This window comes from Homo sapiens, chromosome 8 (assembly GCF_000001405.40).
Source record: "Homo sapiens chromosome 8, GRCh38.p14 Primary Assembly".
NCBI classification, from domain to species: Eukaryota; Metazoa; Chordata; class Mammalia; order Primates; family Hominidae; genus Homo; species Homo sapiens.
Window position 1 is genome coordinate 78721803 of NC_000008.11, and position 16686 is coordinate 78738488.

The following is a 16686-nucleotide window of genomic DNA, read 5'->3' on the forward strand; positions in this document are numbered from 1 at the left end:
AACTTAGTAATTTTATTTCTAAGACACACTTAGGGAAATAATCTGAAGTATAGGAAAATATTTATGCAAAACATGATTAATAGTACTATATAGTGATAAAATTGAAGAAATTGGCCATTAAATCAATTTTAAATAATTTTAATGGAATCACAAGGTTGTTTTATTGCTAAGATAAAAATTTTCAAATAACGTTTGTATATAAAATATTCCAATTACATAAAAAAGTGCAAAGACAAAAGGCTAGAAATATATTTCTCAATATTATGCTTATTTCTACCAAAGGATATTTGGTAAGTTATCTTTTATATTTTGTATATTGTCAATTTTTAAAATAAATGCACATTACCATTATAATTTTTAAAAAGCAAATAGGTTTCTGTTTTTCAGAGTTACTCATGTTCATCTGCAATATTTAATCTGAAACTGCCGCCTTTTACGTTGTTTTCTAATGTCCACAAATGTCCTGTGATCTACTTAAGCTAGTTTATTTTTATAAAAGCTGTATTGCTGAAAGTGGCCTGTCAACTAGAGGTATAATTTTAACGAAATTATTTTTCCTAAATTTCATTCAAGAGGACATTCTATTTTTTAATTTTAAAATTTTTATTTTTTGCTTTCAATAAGAATTTATTTTGCACATTTTAAAAATCGCAATTTTCAGGATGTGTAAGAAAACTATTTTTCTTATACTGAAATAAGCATGTCTTTGGTATAGAAACCACACCCTATGTGTGATCTTTAACTAAGAAAACTAATCAAGAACTATGATCTAATATGATAAACAAAACTCTTCTTTGCCCATCCATCTGTCCCCTTTCATAGCCCCATTGTGGGGCTTTAGAATATAGTTATGTACATATCTCCATATCTACAAAGAGTTAAGATGCCATATCAAAGATGTTCAGAAGTTATATATGGTAGAGAATTAATTGGCTTATCCTTGACACATAATACAAAACACCAAAAGTAATATATATACAGGACAAGCAAAATAGAACATTGTCACTAAGGTCAAATAATAGAAAAACAATCACATCATTTAAGTTTGATGCATTGGAAACAAAGTAACTTCTTTATTATGTAAACAACTTGCAAAGCTCAAAAGGTAACAGCACAGAGCCATAAATTTGATAAGGCACTTTAAAGATAGCAATCAAACATATAAAAATGTCAACCACAAAAAAACTGTAAAAATAATAACCATAAAAAATAGGGGGGAATACATGCATTCTTTCTAGATAGTCTTTCATTTTCCAAAGGAAAGCCTTCTATAAAAATATAGAAGTACAAATATATATATATATATATATATTTAGAAGCCATCATCAAAGTTCAAATCTCTGTAAAGAGAATGTTTTTCCTCAAGTTAGTAAAGTTTGGATTCATACATTTTCTAGAGAAGCAATTACAATCTTCATGCTATATATAGGAAGAAAAATAGCTTTTAATTATGTTTGTCGACTCTTTTATTCAATAAACATTTAGTGACTATTGTGTGACACTGTTTTAGGTGCTAGGGATATAGAAATAAATCAGAAACAATCATTAGCCCTAGAGAACTAAACCTAATGGAACTGGATCTATCACTGGCAACCTTAAAATTACCTCCGTTTGTACTTAAGCTGAAGCTCAACTTCAAACTCTGACATGCTTGGCATCTTGTTGAAAATAAATAACGATCTACCTAGTTTGCCACTGGTAGCACTTTGGCACTATTAATATTAACTATATACTGATGAAATTAACTTTCATAAAGGATTATACAAAAGTTTAGAGGGCAGAAAATATTAATGGATAAACAAGTACTGGTCAGCAACAAAAATAGCGTCAGCCTTCTGCTTTCACAAAGGCCAAGAAAACCAAGAAAAATTTCATTCTGAGTATATACAGAACTGCTGGGAAGAGATCATTCTATACATGTAGTACATATGCAAATATCATATATGAGGAAGTATGAGTTATTACACAATCATTAATAACTAAGCATGCCAAATCAGTCATCAGGTTTCAAAGAATCATAGCCTTGTTTCAAGAGGTCCTGCCAGGTTTTAAGGAAACATGCATTTTCTGTACATTGGAAGACAAGCTATTCCACTTGAGCTGGTACTGCAGATGTGACCTCAAGAAATTTGGTTAATGAAAATGCTGCATCTCTGATCTGCATCTCCACTTTCTCCAGCAGGTCTACCATTTGGCCCTTGTTCCTGCTCAGAACTGGCCAGCCCAAACTCACTGGTTGCGTGGGAAAGATGCTAAAAGGTGTTTGAAGATGAGGAAGAAAAGGGAAGTTCTGGGAGCTGGTGAAGAAACCCACAACTCCTCAAGGTCAGCCATGGGGAAGAGCTAGGAGCTCAGAATCCAACCAGCAAGAGGACATTTTAAAACAGGTTCTTTTTTCTTTCTCTTTTTATCACCTATGATTTTAAGAGTCCAGGTAATACAAGCAAAGGTTTACTCCATAGAGCATAGAATAAAAACAGTTAATCTAAATATTTAAGAGGTATGTTGCCATGCTATTGTTGGGCTTGGGTGAATATATATTTACATTTCTGTATATCTACATATGTATGAAATATTTAGATCTGTTTTCATATATTTGCCTATTTAAAGCTTAATTTTTTAAAAAAGTTTTATTTTTCTCCTAATTATTGTTAAGGGGAACATTTTAAGAACTAGAAAGTTTTAAAAATATATATTTTTACTTATCTTCTCAAACTTATATTTCTTATAGGGAAAACTCATAAACTCTTCAAGAAACATCAGGAACTTAAAATTTTATTTTAAACATTAATTCCTTAACTGTGATTCATTTTGGAAACATGCTATTCAATTAACTATTAATTTGAAAATTCAAAAATAGGTTTTTCCATATGTCTTACTATCAATGAAATCAAAACGCCATTTGAATAAGCAACTTGTATGCTAGAGTAGCTTTATACCCTCTCTGAGGCAGTCTATTCTCATGCCGTTCCCTTTTAGTAAACACTGTCATGTTTCTCCCTCTTATATCAGTAGAAAGATTTTTTCTCACTGATGTCATTACCCGAAAGCTATTTTCAAGGAGGAAGAGGTCTTATCGTTTATTGGCTCAGATACCATATTTTAAGTAGAAAACATTGGACAATATAAAACACTGCCCAACTCCTGTCTTCTAGTGAAAAATTATTTTGATTTGTGATGTATTTCAAATCTAAATTTTGTTATTATCTGTAATGGGCATTTGTCATCATTGTGGCTAGCACCTTTTGAAAATCATATGTTTGGCAAATTTTCCATGGTGAAACTCTCACTGCATCAAAATTGTAGCTAGAATTTATAGTTTTCTATACTTTCTTACAGCGAGGGAGTATTCATGTGACTTGGGAACTACTGAACAGACTTGGATTCTGAAACAAATAATATGAAATGGACACTGCAGCCTCCATTTCCTAGTGAGGATGGTGGAGTTTAGTGGAGAGACACAGAGCTTCTAAGGTAGCTGTGGCAGAGCATCAAGAAGTGACACCCTTATTGCAACATGTGGCCTGTTCCCCATGGTAGCACTTTAACTGACTGTCCTCCCCTCCAAGTTTGGAGCTGTTCAGCCAGAAAGAGTGCCAAGTTGGTGATTATAACTTGGGCATTGTTTCTGGCTGAACAGCCTCCAAACTTGACTATCTGGCTCTCCCAGAGATTCTATGCATTTCCCAATAGCTTTTAGTTATTATTATTATTATTTGCTTAAACTGATTAGACTCGGATCTGCTGTTTGCACTCAAAAACTCTTCAACAACCAAATTTGGTCTAACTTGTGCTTTCCTTTTACAGTGGCTGTAGTAATGGGGGATGTGTTAAAATCATATTTTACAGGAAAGAATATTCAATATACTGAAACAAGACATCTTCCTTAACCCAATCGTAGTGTTAGATAACCACAGACTGAATTTAAGAAGTATGCTTTGAGTATAATTATATGTATCTTGCAGGATGAATTTGAGGATTATCAGTAACATGTATAAAATCTTTGCCACAATCTGTGACATTTAATAGGCCTCAGTAAATGTTATGAATTATTTATTACATAATGTTAGATATATGTTCATGTTAGATGTTGATCAAAACTTTATTTTATTTAATTCCCACCAGGCACTATTTTAGGTGCAGTGAACAAAGCAGTCAAAAATCTGTTTTTTTTTAAGTTCACATCCTAATAGATGAAGATTGAAAAGAAATATGTCAAGCAAGTAAATATGCTTCATATTAAATTCTGACAATGCTATGGAGAAAAAGCATGGGGGTGGTTAGAAGGGAAATGTGAGGGAGGGTGGAAGAGGGTTACAATTTTAGATAGAGTGTTCAGGGATGATTTCATTGAAAAAGTGATATTTGAGCACAGACCTGAAAGAGGGGTGAGCCATTATTGTATATCTTTTTTGTTTACTATACTTGTTTCTTGGATTATTTTCCTTTAACATTTAGTGCTTTCTGTTAGGGTATTCAATGTGATTGATATGTGCAAATGTACAAGAGAGGAAAGAGTATTTCATGAAAAGGGTTAAATAAGTGCACAGGCTCTGTGGTGAGAGCCCGGTACCTCTGGAATGGTGTGTGTGTGGAAAAGAGTAGAAAATTAGTCATGTAACCAGCCAGCCAGATTATGTATGCTTTAGAGGCCATTCATATGACTTTGGCTTACTCAGAGTAAGACGGGAATAGGAGAGTGACCTGATCTGGCTTAAACATATAACCTGAATATACTTTTTAGCCCCTTAATTAGTGAGACATAAAAGCAAGAGAAAATAATTGTCTCCCATTCCTCCCTAAAGTGGTCACAGGTATTGATCAAATTAAGTATCCTTAGCACTCAGTTTTAAAGTATTACATGGTATAATGTAGAGTTGAAGCAAACTGAGACTTTCCTCCCCCACCTGAGTGTAAAACAAAATGATCAATTTCCTTAATAGTGCACTCCAGTCCCCTAATCTCTCATCCTTAGTCCCACTCATTAGAAATAAAGGCGTGTTTGTTATCGACTCAACTACTTTGTCTTGTTTAGGATGCAAAGATTAGTCATTAATTCTAGTTTCTTAATATAGTACCCTAATGTTCATAAATTTGCTTTTCATTCTCATTTCCTCCTTCTTCAGTGTAAAATAATCTCAATAGAACTTTCATATATAAGGGACAGAGATCCTTTCAGTTACCTTGAGAAAAAGGGTTTGACAGAAGGTGCATATGGATTAGAACTGGTCCTGAGACCATTAGGTCCTGAGAAAACTCCAAGGACTGGTACATCTGTGGGCCTCTATGCCTCTCTTAGTTATCTGTCCATTCTCTGTTGTCTTCTTCACTGTGGTGTATCTTTTTTGCTTCCCTTTTCTTTCAGCTTGCCAGTGCCCAACTTAATTAAACCTTGCAACTTCCTCTCCTTTTCATTGTGATTTGGAGCAAATTCATGTGAGACTGTGGTTGTAATTCCTGGCATAGAACACCTAAATCACCACATCTTTTCAAGCTGCATGACATATATAATAGATCATTAGCCAGCCTGTTAATTAGTTGCACTTAGGAGAGTTGCCCTATTCTCTCTTCCCTTTAGTTGGGACAGAGGAATGAGTTCACATGATTAAAGAACATGGCCACTTAGAAGAATAGTACAGAATCCTTTTCAGGTCATGTTGACATTCCAAGGAATGATTGACATATTTCAATAACAAGTATTTGTTTACATTTTAAGAGTCAAACTAGAAAATTTGAAATTTGCTTGAAGTGGAAATGTAGAAATGTATCATAACTCTTTATGACTATTAATTTAGTGCTGAGTTTCTTAATAGCAGTAAAGTGACAAACTCCTGAGAAATATGTATCCAAACCTTCTGATAAGGAGGCAATGGGTAATTTTAAAACACAAATTCAATATGTCTATTATTTTTATAATATAAACATCAGAAAGTAAGTTGACAACATCTTGGCTGGGGGAGGGGCTATGCAGAAGATAAATTAAGAATTTTAAAAGTGAGATTTCAGAAGGTTCTATGTTCACAGAAGGCATGATTTCTATTTTGCAGATGTCATTACTGTCTTTGTAGAAAATCTCACTCCATAAACGCTACAACTAATAAGTGAGTTTAATAATCCTATATCCATAGGATATAAGAACAATATACAAAAGTGAGTCATTCTTATATATCAGCTATGAATTCTGAATTTGAATATTACAATACCATTTGTAAAAGCACACATGTGCATACAAACCCAAATAAATAGTCATGCATATATCTAACTAAATAGTTGTAGAATATGTATGCTGAGAACTATAAAACACTAAGGAAAGAATTCAAAGAAAAACTAAATAGAGAAATATACCATGTTCCTTAATCCCAAGGAAGAACAGAGTACAGTACAGATGCCATTTCTTCCCCAGTTTAATCTATAGTCTCCATTGCAATCTCTGTTGATATTCCAACAAGCTTTTTTTACTGATTTGATAGACTGATTCTAAAATGTACATAGAAAGGCAAAGCAACTAGAATAGCCAAAACAACTTTGAAAAATAAAAACTGGAGGACTCAAATGACCCAATTTCTAGAAATGTTATAAAGCCATAGTAATCAAAACTGTGGTATTGGAGAAAGGATACATAGATCATCAGAACAGAGCAGAGCAGAGCATCCATAAATATGCACACATAAATATAGTCTACCAAAATTTACAATAGTGCAAAGGTAATTCATTTGAGAAAGTAGTCTTTTCAACAAATGGTGATGAAACACTTGGATATCCATATGCATAAAATGAAACTTGATACACATTTTATGTCTCATACACAAATAAGTCATGAACCTAAATGTAAAACATAAAACTATACAACTTCTAGAGCAATGGTTTCAAGTGGTAGTAACTTTTGTCTCCAAGAAACAAAGTATAGAGACATTTTTGACTGTCAGTACTTGGGGGGAGGAGATCACTGGCATCTAATGGGTGCAGACCAGGGATGTCACTAAATATCCCACAATGCACAGCACAGTCACCATCACACACACGAAAATGCCAATTTCTAGTCTGGATAAATATACCATGGTTATGTAACTATCTCTTATTAGAGGAACAGAAACTTGGTAAAGAGTGTATGGGAATGCTTTTTACTCCCTTTGCAACTCTTCAGGGCAATAGACTATACTTCAAAGTCTAACATTTAATAATTTCCTATTCTATTTCTGTGAAGGCATCATGTACTGTAGCAGATGTATTCTGCTTTGATGTCTTGCAAAATCACTTTGATTCTTCAATTAAATTTATTAAATGTGTAAATATTGCCAGTCATGTATTATATGTTAAAAATTTGAGACCAATAAAATATTTTCAAATGTCTCCTCTTTATAGGAGCTTTCCTGTTTCATCTAACCTAAAATACCACCTTTCTCCACCAATCTTTCTGATGTTCTCCCCATGGAACTTTTTTCTGACTGTTTTCCCTTTTCTAGGGTATATGCTCCATGAAGGCAGGGACTTTGTTGTACCTCCAGGGCCAGAACTGGCACACTAGAGATGGATGCTTAATAAATATTTGTTGAGTGAATGAATTATATGTATTTGTGTTGCGTCTTCCCAATAAGTGGTCTTTATTCAAACGTTGGAGCTTCAGTAAACCCCTATTTGGCTGTGAACAGATTAGTCTCAATCCTAGTATTTAATTTACCCCGAGTGAAAGTAACACCTTTCTCTTAAGCAGCAAGATGCATTAATCTTTACGTTAAGATTTTTCATGGCAAAAAACAAATCCATTTTTTTTCTTCCCTTTCTTCAGCTCTGGGGATGCCAGGCAAGAAGGAGATGACGGGGTAGATAATGGTTACTTTGTAATTTTCTGGAAGATCATGCTGGTTCTACTAGAAGACTTTTACCTCACATGATTGGATGCTCCTCAAGCTGAACTTCTTCCATTTGTGATAGTATTTGGACCATTTCTAGAATATGTTATAAGATTTTTATAAGATTGTCTTTCCAATTAAAGTTTTAGGTTAAAGTTCTCATTTGAATCAGATTATTTCAAATATAAGAAAATTTGTGATAAGCATTGAAGATAGAAATTGGCAAACATATGTCCCTCTCCCAGAGATAACAGGTGGTAGGTTATTAAGAGTTACTTGTTGAGCTGAGCAGTGGAGGCATACATGAAGGAATGATCAGTTCCACCTGGGAAAGCATGGGAAAGCTTCAGAAAGAATGAAACACTTAGATTGAAGAAAAAGAATAAATCAGTAATCAACAATAATTTAAACAACTAAATTTTAATGTTGCCCCTTGCCTTAACTTTCTTCATGTAAAATATGAATATGAAATTAGTTCACTTTTAGAACAGTATCTTAAGTAACAATGACCTCTCCCCCATTTAGAAAATTGCTGCCTTTCAAGAAAAATGTACTTCATTCTTACCACTTTTTATGTGAAGGATGCAAATCAAACCCCAGATTATTCCCAATACAAAACGATGATTTAGCACCTTTCTCAAATATTAACTTTATGGGTCTATGACTGCATGTATTTTTATATTTAGACATTAAAAACTGTTAGAATTTATAATTATCAATACACCTACTTGTTTCATTGTCTTGTCCTACGATATTTCCATAGATTCTATTATTTGGTCAGAATCAAAGCCAAAAGATGTTTCACAACAAATGAAATTTAGAAATCAAAGAAAATTCTGCCATATCATCCTGAATGCACCCAGAATGCATGGTGATTTTGAGTACACAAAGTTGGGCCATATTGTCCTAAATTAGTTATGTTTTCTGGTGCTATCATACCCATCTTTAAGTAAATTATTGTAGAAATGTGTTTTCTAGATGATTTAAATGGATATTAATAACAGAATGGCACAATGCAGTTCCTGTAGACTTGCTAACTACCATATGTCTAGCTTTTCCCCTTAGGAGCTGAAAGGAAGACAAAGATCATAATTCTTTTAGGGTAGATAAAACATTTCAAATGAACAGATTATTTAAATTGTATTTAAGATAAAGTACTAAGATGAATCTGGTCAAATAATAATGAATGATGCAGGCTTAAGTGCTATGAACAACTAAGGGAACATACATTAATATTATCTAGAATTATCATGGAAGTCATAGCAATTGAGGAAAAGGAATTGAGATGCCCTTTGAAACTTAAGCAGGGTTGGCGTAGAATTTGCAACAACATTCTAAGCAGTAAGAACGTGATGAATGAAGATTGCCCGTACAGAACACCATAAAGATTATCTGACCTACAGTACAAGATACGTGTTTCTAGAGAAATATTTATATGGCGTGGTAGGGTTAACAAAATGTCCTTCTTAAGTTGGCTGTCAATGAAAGTATGGCCTAAAGCAAAGAAACTTTTCTAGTTCAGTTTTCCCATGGATCAATTTTAAGAAAATTATCTTATTCCTGAAAAGAGTATTTCCTTCAGCATATTCCCTGAAAACCTGTTTTAAAATACTTTTAACCGTAACTCTTTGTATAAAGCAGATTCTCCTTGCTGTTATATTAGCTTTAATTCTATGAATTATATTAACCTCGTGTTAGGTTAGGGATTTTTAATGTAAAAATGTTTTATATAATCAATTAAGTTTTAGAAATGCTATATTACTATTAAATTTTTTTCACAGCTACATGAATGAGTTTTTAGGGATTTTAATATACTTATAAGAATTGTGAACCTCCAAGAGAATATTTAACTCACATCAAAAATAAGTATCTTCCCTCCTTATTTTTTTTTCTTTTTGTAGCATTGACAAGGATTAGCATTTCTTGGGGCAAACTTTAGAAAATGCTGACTTAAAGCATTTAAATATATATTTAAAAGAAAATGTTTATTGAGATAAATCTCTAATTGTGGAGTAGATATACTTATACTCTCCCAAATCATTATTAGCCAACCTATCTTGTTAGAGGCTAGGAAACAAAGAAGGGAAATGCAACCATAAGTGTGTGGGTAATTTTTCCAAACGTTTGGCACACAGTACAAGCTGAGTACACTGTTTGAGTCCAATTTTTCTCAAAAATTCAAATCTACTATAACAAATGACAGAAACCAAGGAAGAAAATTTTAATAGCGTTTTTAAACAAGCATTTAAAAAATATTGACCCTTATTTTACCATAACATCAGAGAGAATATATTTTTTTAACACTGTTAGGGAACATTATAGATAGCCTTGAAGGAAACATTTTCAAGGACAGTTTCAAGAGTTTACCTTTAGAAATGTAAATTCCCTCATTTCTCTAACTAATGGTTTACCAATATCTCCAGTAATCAGGGTAGAGGTGTACCACATGGTTGACCATGTTTTATGATGGAAGGAGCATAACCTACTTAGAAAAGTCCATCTGAAGAAAGAAAGCTTGGTGAAGAGTCATTTGCTTCTAAAAAATGTTAATCAACTCATCTTTCTGGAGTTAACAGTGATAACCAAACAGAAAAAAATACTTGACTCAAAGTCCTGTTAATGGGGCAGTTCAGTAAATTGTATGGAAGTGTATACAATTCTATACAGCTATCGCACCAGTGAAGGTGAAATGTCATATGGGTCAAGGAAAGTGAGAGAAGGCAGGAAGGTGTTACCAACACACACTGAGGGTGTCACCAGAGCATCTTCTGTAGATCAAATAAAGCCCATCAGCACATAACTAGATGGTGATGAGGCTGAGAGAGCATGAAGGATGTGAGTTCAGTGCAATGCAAACTGACAGCTATTTGTAGATTCTGGCCTGCTTAGAATAGTGTTTCCATTTCCCTTTATCAGTGAATGAAGACTGCAGACATTTCCAGACAAGTTTCTTTTAAAAGACTAAAATTTAACATAGAAGGTAATGTCTCATATTCATTGTTGGTAATAGGCTATTAAAGGTCATATATTCAATGAAAGTAGAAAATTAAAGAGCAGTGAAGTATTAAAAATCTCATCTTAAAAATTCTGTTGAGATTTATTAACTGAATCTGGCAGTGTTAATACATAGCTCATTTATTTTATCAAAGGAGAAATGTATTCCAAAGTAAGCAATTTGTAATGCTGTATGAAAATATTTTATATACAGATATAGTGTCAAAATTAAATACAGATATTTCATTAATTAAAAGGTAAACATATATTATTATCTTAAAAATATATCTCCCAAATTGCAAACTTATTTAGACAAGTTATAATCTATATAAATGACAATGTAACTCAGTACTAAGGTTTAGCATCCTTAGACTAGGTGAATTTATTTTTATTTTATTTTATTTTTTTGAAATTGTCCTTTTTTCATGTCAAAACATTTGCTATACCATTTATTGAAGGCACTGTGTTACACATTCATGATTAATTAAATCTCTTGAAATCTCTTTTAGGTATCTTGGACCTTGTTATGCTGTTGCTTACTTAAGGTTTATGACTCTCTTATTCTCACCGGCATTATCCATATATCATTGTTAACTCTAAAACATCTCCAGCACAGAAGAAGACAATTTTCACTCTTAATACAGTATAATAGATTCATAGTGAGCCATAAAATTATTTTGACAGTAAAGCAATGTCAATTTTGAATCTTTGAAACCATTATATACTTCATAGATTTAATGTCTTGAAATATTTAAACAGGTTTGAGAAGTATTATTGCAACTGATACCTTACATGGATTGTCTTACAAAAATCAGTACAGAATTATACTGATTGATAAATGTTCACATATATAAGAAATAGTTTGTTGACTGGAGCATTCAGTTTCCATTGTTTGTATTCATCTTCTAGTAATACAATATGCATTTCTCAAATGCCCTAATCCGTTTTGACCATGGTGCATTCAGTAACTTCTAGGAAGCATTCCACTCTGAAAAACTGCATAAGCAGATAGATTCTTGGAGGATGCAGCTAAAGTTCGTGTTTCTATATTGCCACTCCATATTTTTCAGTGTTCTTTAGTGCCCATCAAAATTTTATTCCAACAAGTTTTTATCTCTTGTAATAGTCTCTTTAGGAAACACAAGTCATTCAGTTTTTTCTGTTCCTTTAAAGATTTATTTTCTTCCTAGAGAATAGAGTTTTAAAAGTTTAAACTTCACATTTTTACAAAAATATATATTTTAAAATACTATTTTTCATCATATTACTTTATACTGAAAAACTGGTGCAATGAAAAGGTAGAATCCTGTGTGACATTTTAAAGACGATGATTTCTAACTATCTTTGTGATAACTGACATGTAGAAAATTCAAGGTTGGTGTGATTAAAGACTTAGGATTCTCCAAAGAGCTATATCAGCTGACCGCCATTTTCACAGTTTAACAGTGGACATAATAACACTGTTTGGAATTTCATGAGAAAGGTAATTGTAGGTTACTCAGTTGAGTTTCTTTAATGTAGAAAAATGTATTTTTAGTGGGAAGAATAATCAACATTGAAAATACTCAGATTATTTTGCCAAAGATAATAAGGATATAGCTGATGGAACTTGTACCCTAAGGTCTCCTCCAACAACTAACCTTCACCAGAGTATGTCAGATGCCTGCCTCATAAGCTAGGTTTTAGCACCTGACAAGAATCTTAAAAAGGGCTACCTGTACAACCTGTAGGAAGAAAGAGATACTTGGCATGAACAGACATATAAAGGAGTAACTCTGTATAGACTCAGTTATATTTCTCTGAGTCCTCTGACCTGTGAGAATGGGAATAGTGCAGGGTAGAGTAATTCTTCACTTAGATAACAACTAGTTGATCACAAATATAAAGCATACCAGTGACTTTTACCCCTTCCTAGACCAGGAGGTGATATCAGTTGTTTGTTTTACACTCTTCACAGTTGAGCCCAGACTTCAGGGTTAAAATCAACATAGTGTTTTCAACAATCACTAGCAAGTAAATGGATGTGCAAGCAATATAAAAACTATTATAACTAGTTATTGGGTAACTAGATAATTTAGATAACAAGTTATTGGGTATTCTCTCAGTCATATATTGTGCTCAGTGTTTAACATAATTTACTTCATTTTATTTGCTTAATCATCATATGAACTTGATGATTTGAACTCATTTCACAGATGAAGAAACTGATCCGCAAAGAAGATAAATAAGCTGCTAAGGTCAAGTAAATAAATATATGTCAAGTAAATATAATGACTGAATCTTGAGCTCCTCTGTCCTATTTTTAATTTGGCCACAAATTCAGATCTCTTTTTGTCATGTATTTAGTAACACTAGCACATACTTTTTAAAGAATACATTTCAAAGATTAAACAACAGATCTCAAAGGGAAATATAAAGGCAAACTTTTCATATTGTTTTCAATAGGGGGTCCTGGACAATTTTTTTAAGTACAAGTTGAAGTTGATTTGCCTAAGCAGATTTGAAATATACAGATGTGAAAATTTCATACTTTTCCTTGCACACCGAGAATAAGCATTCACTAAAAAGTAAAAAACAGAGAATCTTGGTTTTACCCCTGCATCCTGGGAAAATAGTTATCTTTTCTTTTCTTTTTTTTTTTTTTTTGTTTTTTTTTTTTTGCTCTGTTTTTTGTTTTTTGTTTTGAGACGGAGTCCCACTCTGTTGCCCAGGCTAGAGTGTAGTGGCGCGATCTCGGCTCACTGCAACCTCCACCTCCTGGGTTCAAGTGATTCTCCTGCCTCAGCCTCCTGAGTAGCTGGGACTACAGGCGTGCACCACGCCCAGCTAATTTTTGTATTTTTAGTAGAGACGGGGTTTCACCATGTTGGCCAGGATGGTCTTGATCTTTCCACCTTGTGATCCGCCCACCTCGGACCCCCAAAGTGCTGGGATTACAGGCGTGAGCCACCGCACCCAACCTTTCTTTTCTAAACTTTCCAAATTCTCTTAGTGAAAAGCCTTCAGGGTGATTATATTGCTTTTAGCTTCTGTATTCACTTCAGATGTTCCACTTTGCATAGAATCCCTAGAATTTCCTAAATCTCAGAGTGTACAGGCTCACTTTGCTTTTCTGAAAAGAGTAAGGAATTTCCATGTTGCCATGTAGCTATTGGTCAAATAATGGAAATATAAAAGAAGAATCCATCACTTTTATGAACCAGGTGTGCTCATTTTTCCATGCCTCAACTTAATTAGTACCTATATCATTTTAAAGTTTAGTCAGATCCATTTAAGTATTCTGCCTTATTAAGTCATTCATAAATATTTTCCATATTATTGTATAATTTATCTAATAATGTCTAGTAGTATATGTATAAATATATGTTTATATACTATTATATATTATTTATACTGTACAATCTACACTAATAAAAGAGGTATATATAAGATAAGTCCTTATTGTTTAATTTTTATTTCTTTACAAACTAACAGGGATGGCTTTTTTTCTTCATGTATTTGTCATCTAGTTTATTTTCTCCTATATAAATTATTTGTTCATTTCTTTTACGTGCTAGCTGCAATATTTTAATGCTGCTTCTTCTAAAAAAAAAAAAAATCATGCTTTTGTATTTGCCCTAACAGCTTCTATTTTAAAATAGTGGGTTTAAAAATGCAATTTAAAGGAATCAAATTTTTGAGGGGCACCTCGCTTCTCCTTTTATCAATGTTATAATAAATTATTTCAAAACCAGCTATAAGAAGGAAACAATTCAAAATGAAAAATTAGGAATTAAGTTGAGTAAAAACCTGATGAACCATAAGGAAAATTATACAATTATTCTCACCAAACTCTTTGTTGGTTGGGCTTCACCCAGGGCAGCTGGTTTTCTTCCTTTAACCTTAAAAACAAAGTCACATTTATAATATTGAATATTTCTTCATTGCTCCTCCAGTTGTTTGTAATTGCTAATTTTCATATTGCCTTCAGCTCATCTAATCTATTTGAGACTCTACTTTAAATTTCTTATTGTTAAGAAAGTAAAATATTAATATGATTTAGAAATGGAATATCAGGGTAAAGGAAGAAGCAAGATAGTTCAGTCTTCTGAATACCCAGAATCCATAATTTTGTAGGTCTGCCTAGTACTGTGTTAACTACTGTGAGGTATGAAAAATTAACATAGTAGGGTATAGTAGCAGAGATAAAACTTGAATTTTAATCAATATAAAAATAAAGTTAACAAGAAATTGTTAAATCCTGGCCATACATTTTATTAAGCTTCACTTATCAGAAACAAAATGAAATAAAACAATAGTAAAAAGCTTGTAGCGTGCCTGGCTCATGAAGAAAATTCAGTGTAGCTGACTGCTTTAACATCTTGCCTTGTTATTTCAAGAAAAAGGTGACTTGTATCAAGTTAATCAATGTAATATAATTTAATTTCAAAGATTTAAATTATTTGCATATTTTCTTTCTCTACAGTTAATTTTGGAACATGATGATCCATATAAAGCTCAATACATAAGAGAAAGAATCACAAATATATAACATACCTAAGACCTTTACCTCTTAGTAGACCAAGAGGTGATATCAGTTTTCCGTTTTACACTCTTTTCAGTTGAACCAAGAGTGGAGGCTTATAATCAACACAGTATTTTCAACAGTCACAACTAATTAATTGGATGTGCAAGCAACATAAAACCTATCTGCATTAGACAGTACTTTGAAACCGCTGTTAAGTAGGAATGAAGAAATGGTAGACTAGAGTAGGAAGTCTTCATGAATCTTGAGCCGAGCCTTGAAGGCATAGAACAAAATAGATCCAATTTATAGAAAAAAAAAGTAGAAATGCTCTCTAGGGGACAAACGTAAGGACGCAAGTTTGGAAATAAGTTTGGCAAATCCAGCACACTAAGAGGAGACTTGCTTCCATCAAGTACATAAAGCAATGATAAATGAGGCTATCCAAGTTATATAATAGATAATCTACATTTTTATCACTGTCAATAGGATTCAAAGATAATCTTACCATTTTACCTTCTATGGGAAACTACTAGTGCTCAAACAAAACAAAATTCTTTTTTAAGTCATAAAAATGTTATTTAAGAAAATATTTAAAACCATAAAATAAACTTTTGGTTTTGTGTGGCAGCTGGTAAAATCCAAAAAGAGGTAAATAATACAAATAAAATAAAGCACTGTATTAAATATTGAAAACTTTTTAGTACTAAGCACTTTACATGTGTTATGCCATTTAATCCTTTCAAATCCCACAATGTAGATATGTTTTTCTGCATTTTGTAGATAAGGAAACTGCTGTCTAGTCTCTAGATGATGTCTTCCATATTTGGTTTTGTTGTTTTAGTTCATAACCACTAGTAGAAAAGTAGGAAAATATTAGCCCTATTTGTATCAAAATTATTTAAAGAAGGGAAAATTGTTGGACATGTTTATGTCTAGTTTAAGCCTATAAAGATATTTGTTAAATACATTTGATTTCCTGTTTTATTGACTAGGAGTTCTTGTAAATGTGTACATATATGGATTAAAGCTATTAATAAGTTTTAGATATAGAAATTTACCATTCCCCACCCAATATATCACCCTAGTATCCTTGGAAGTTATTATGGCAATGAAGAATTTATTTATTTATTTTTTACTCCCCTTTCACAAACAATTCACTCTAGCCAAGAGATAAATAGGTATTTCCAAACTGAGCCTTTCCTCTTCTAGGATTGAGTAAACATACTTCAACTTTAGATGATAATAAACACTTAGGATTCTATGATAATGGATGTGATCATCAGAGAATAGTGGTATCTTGGCACAGGAGTATTTAATATTTTTATTCAAAGTAAA

At 32.6% G+C, this 16686-nt stretch overlaps 1 protein-coding gene and 1 pseudogene across 11 annotated transcripts in view; both read right to left on the reverse strand.

The window, feature by feature from the left end:
- Positions 1-16686, reverse strand: part of IL7 (interleukin 7) — a 130420-nt gene that overhangs the window by 46759 nt on the left and 66975 nt on the right. For 6 of the 10 annotated variants that reach the window (NM_001199886.2, NM_000880.4, XM_047421768.1 and 3 more), the window contains 2 exons: positions 14672-14725; positions 10970-12030 (listed from right to left, as the gene is read on the reverse strand). In NM_001199886.2, the coding sequence (NP_001186815.1) occupies positions 11911-12030; positions 14672-14725 (174 nt within the window). In that variant the 3' untranslated portion in view covers positions 10970-11910. Of the gene's footprint in view, positions 1-10969; positions 12031-14671; positions 14726-16686 lie in introns of those variants that run through there. The other 4 variants (XM_011517523.4, XM_011517522.4, NM_001199888.2 and 1 more) reach the window with 2 other exon arrangements.
- Positions 1045-2572, reverse strand: C4orf46P3 (C4orf46 pseudogene 3; annotated as a pseudogene). The gene has a single exon (NR_077236.1). The product of NR_077236.1 is annotated as a C4orf46 pseudogene 3 (transcript).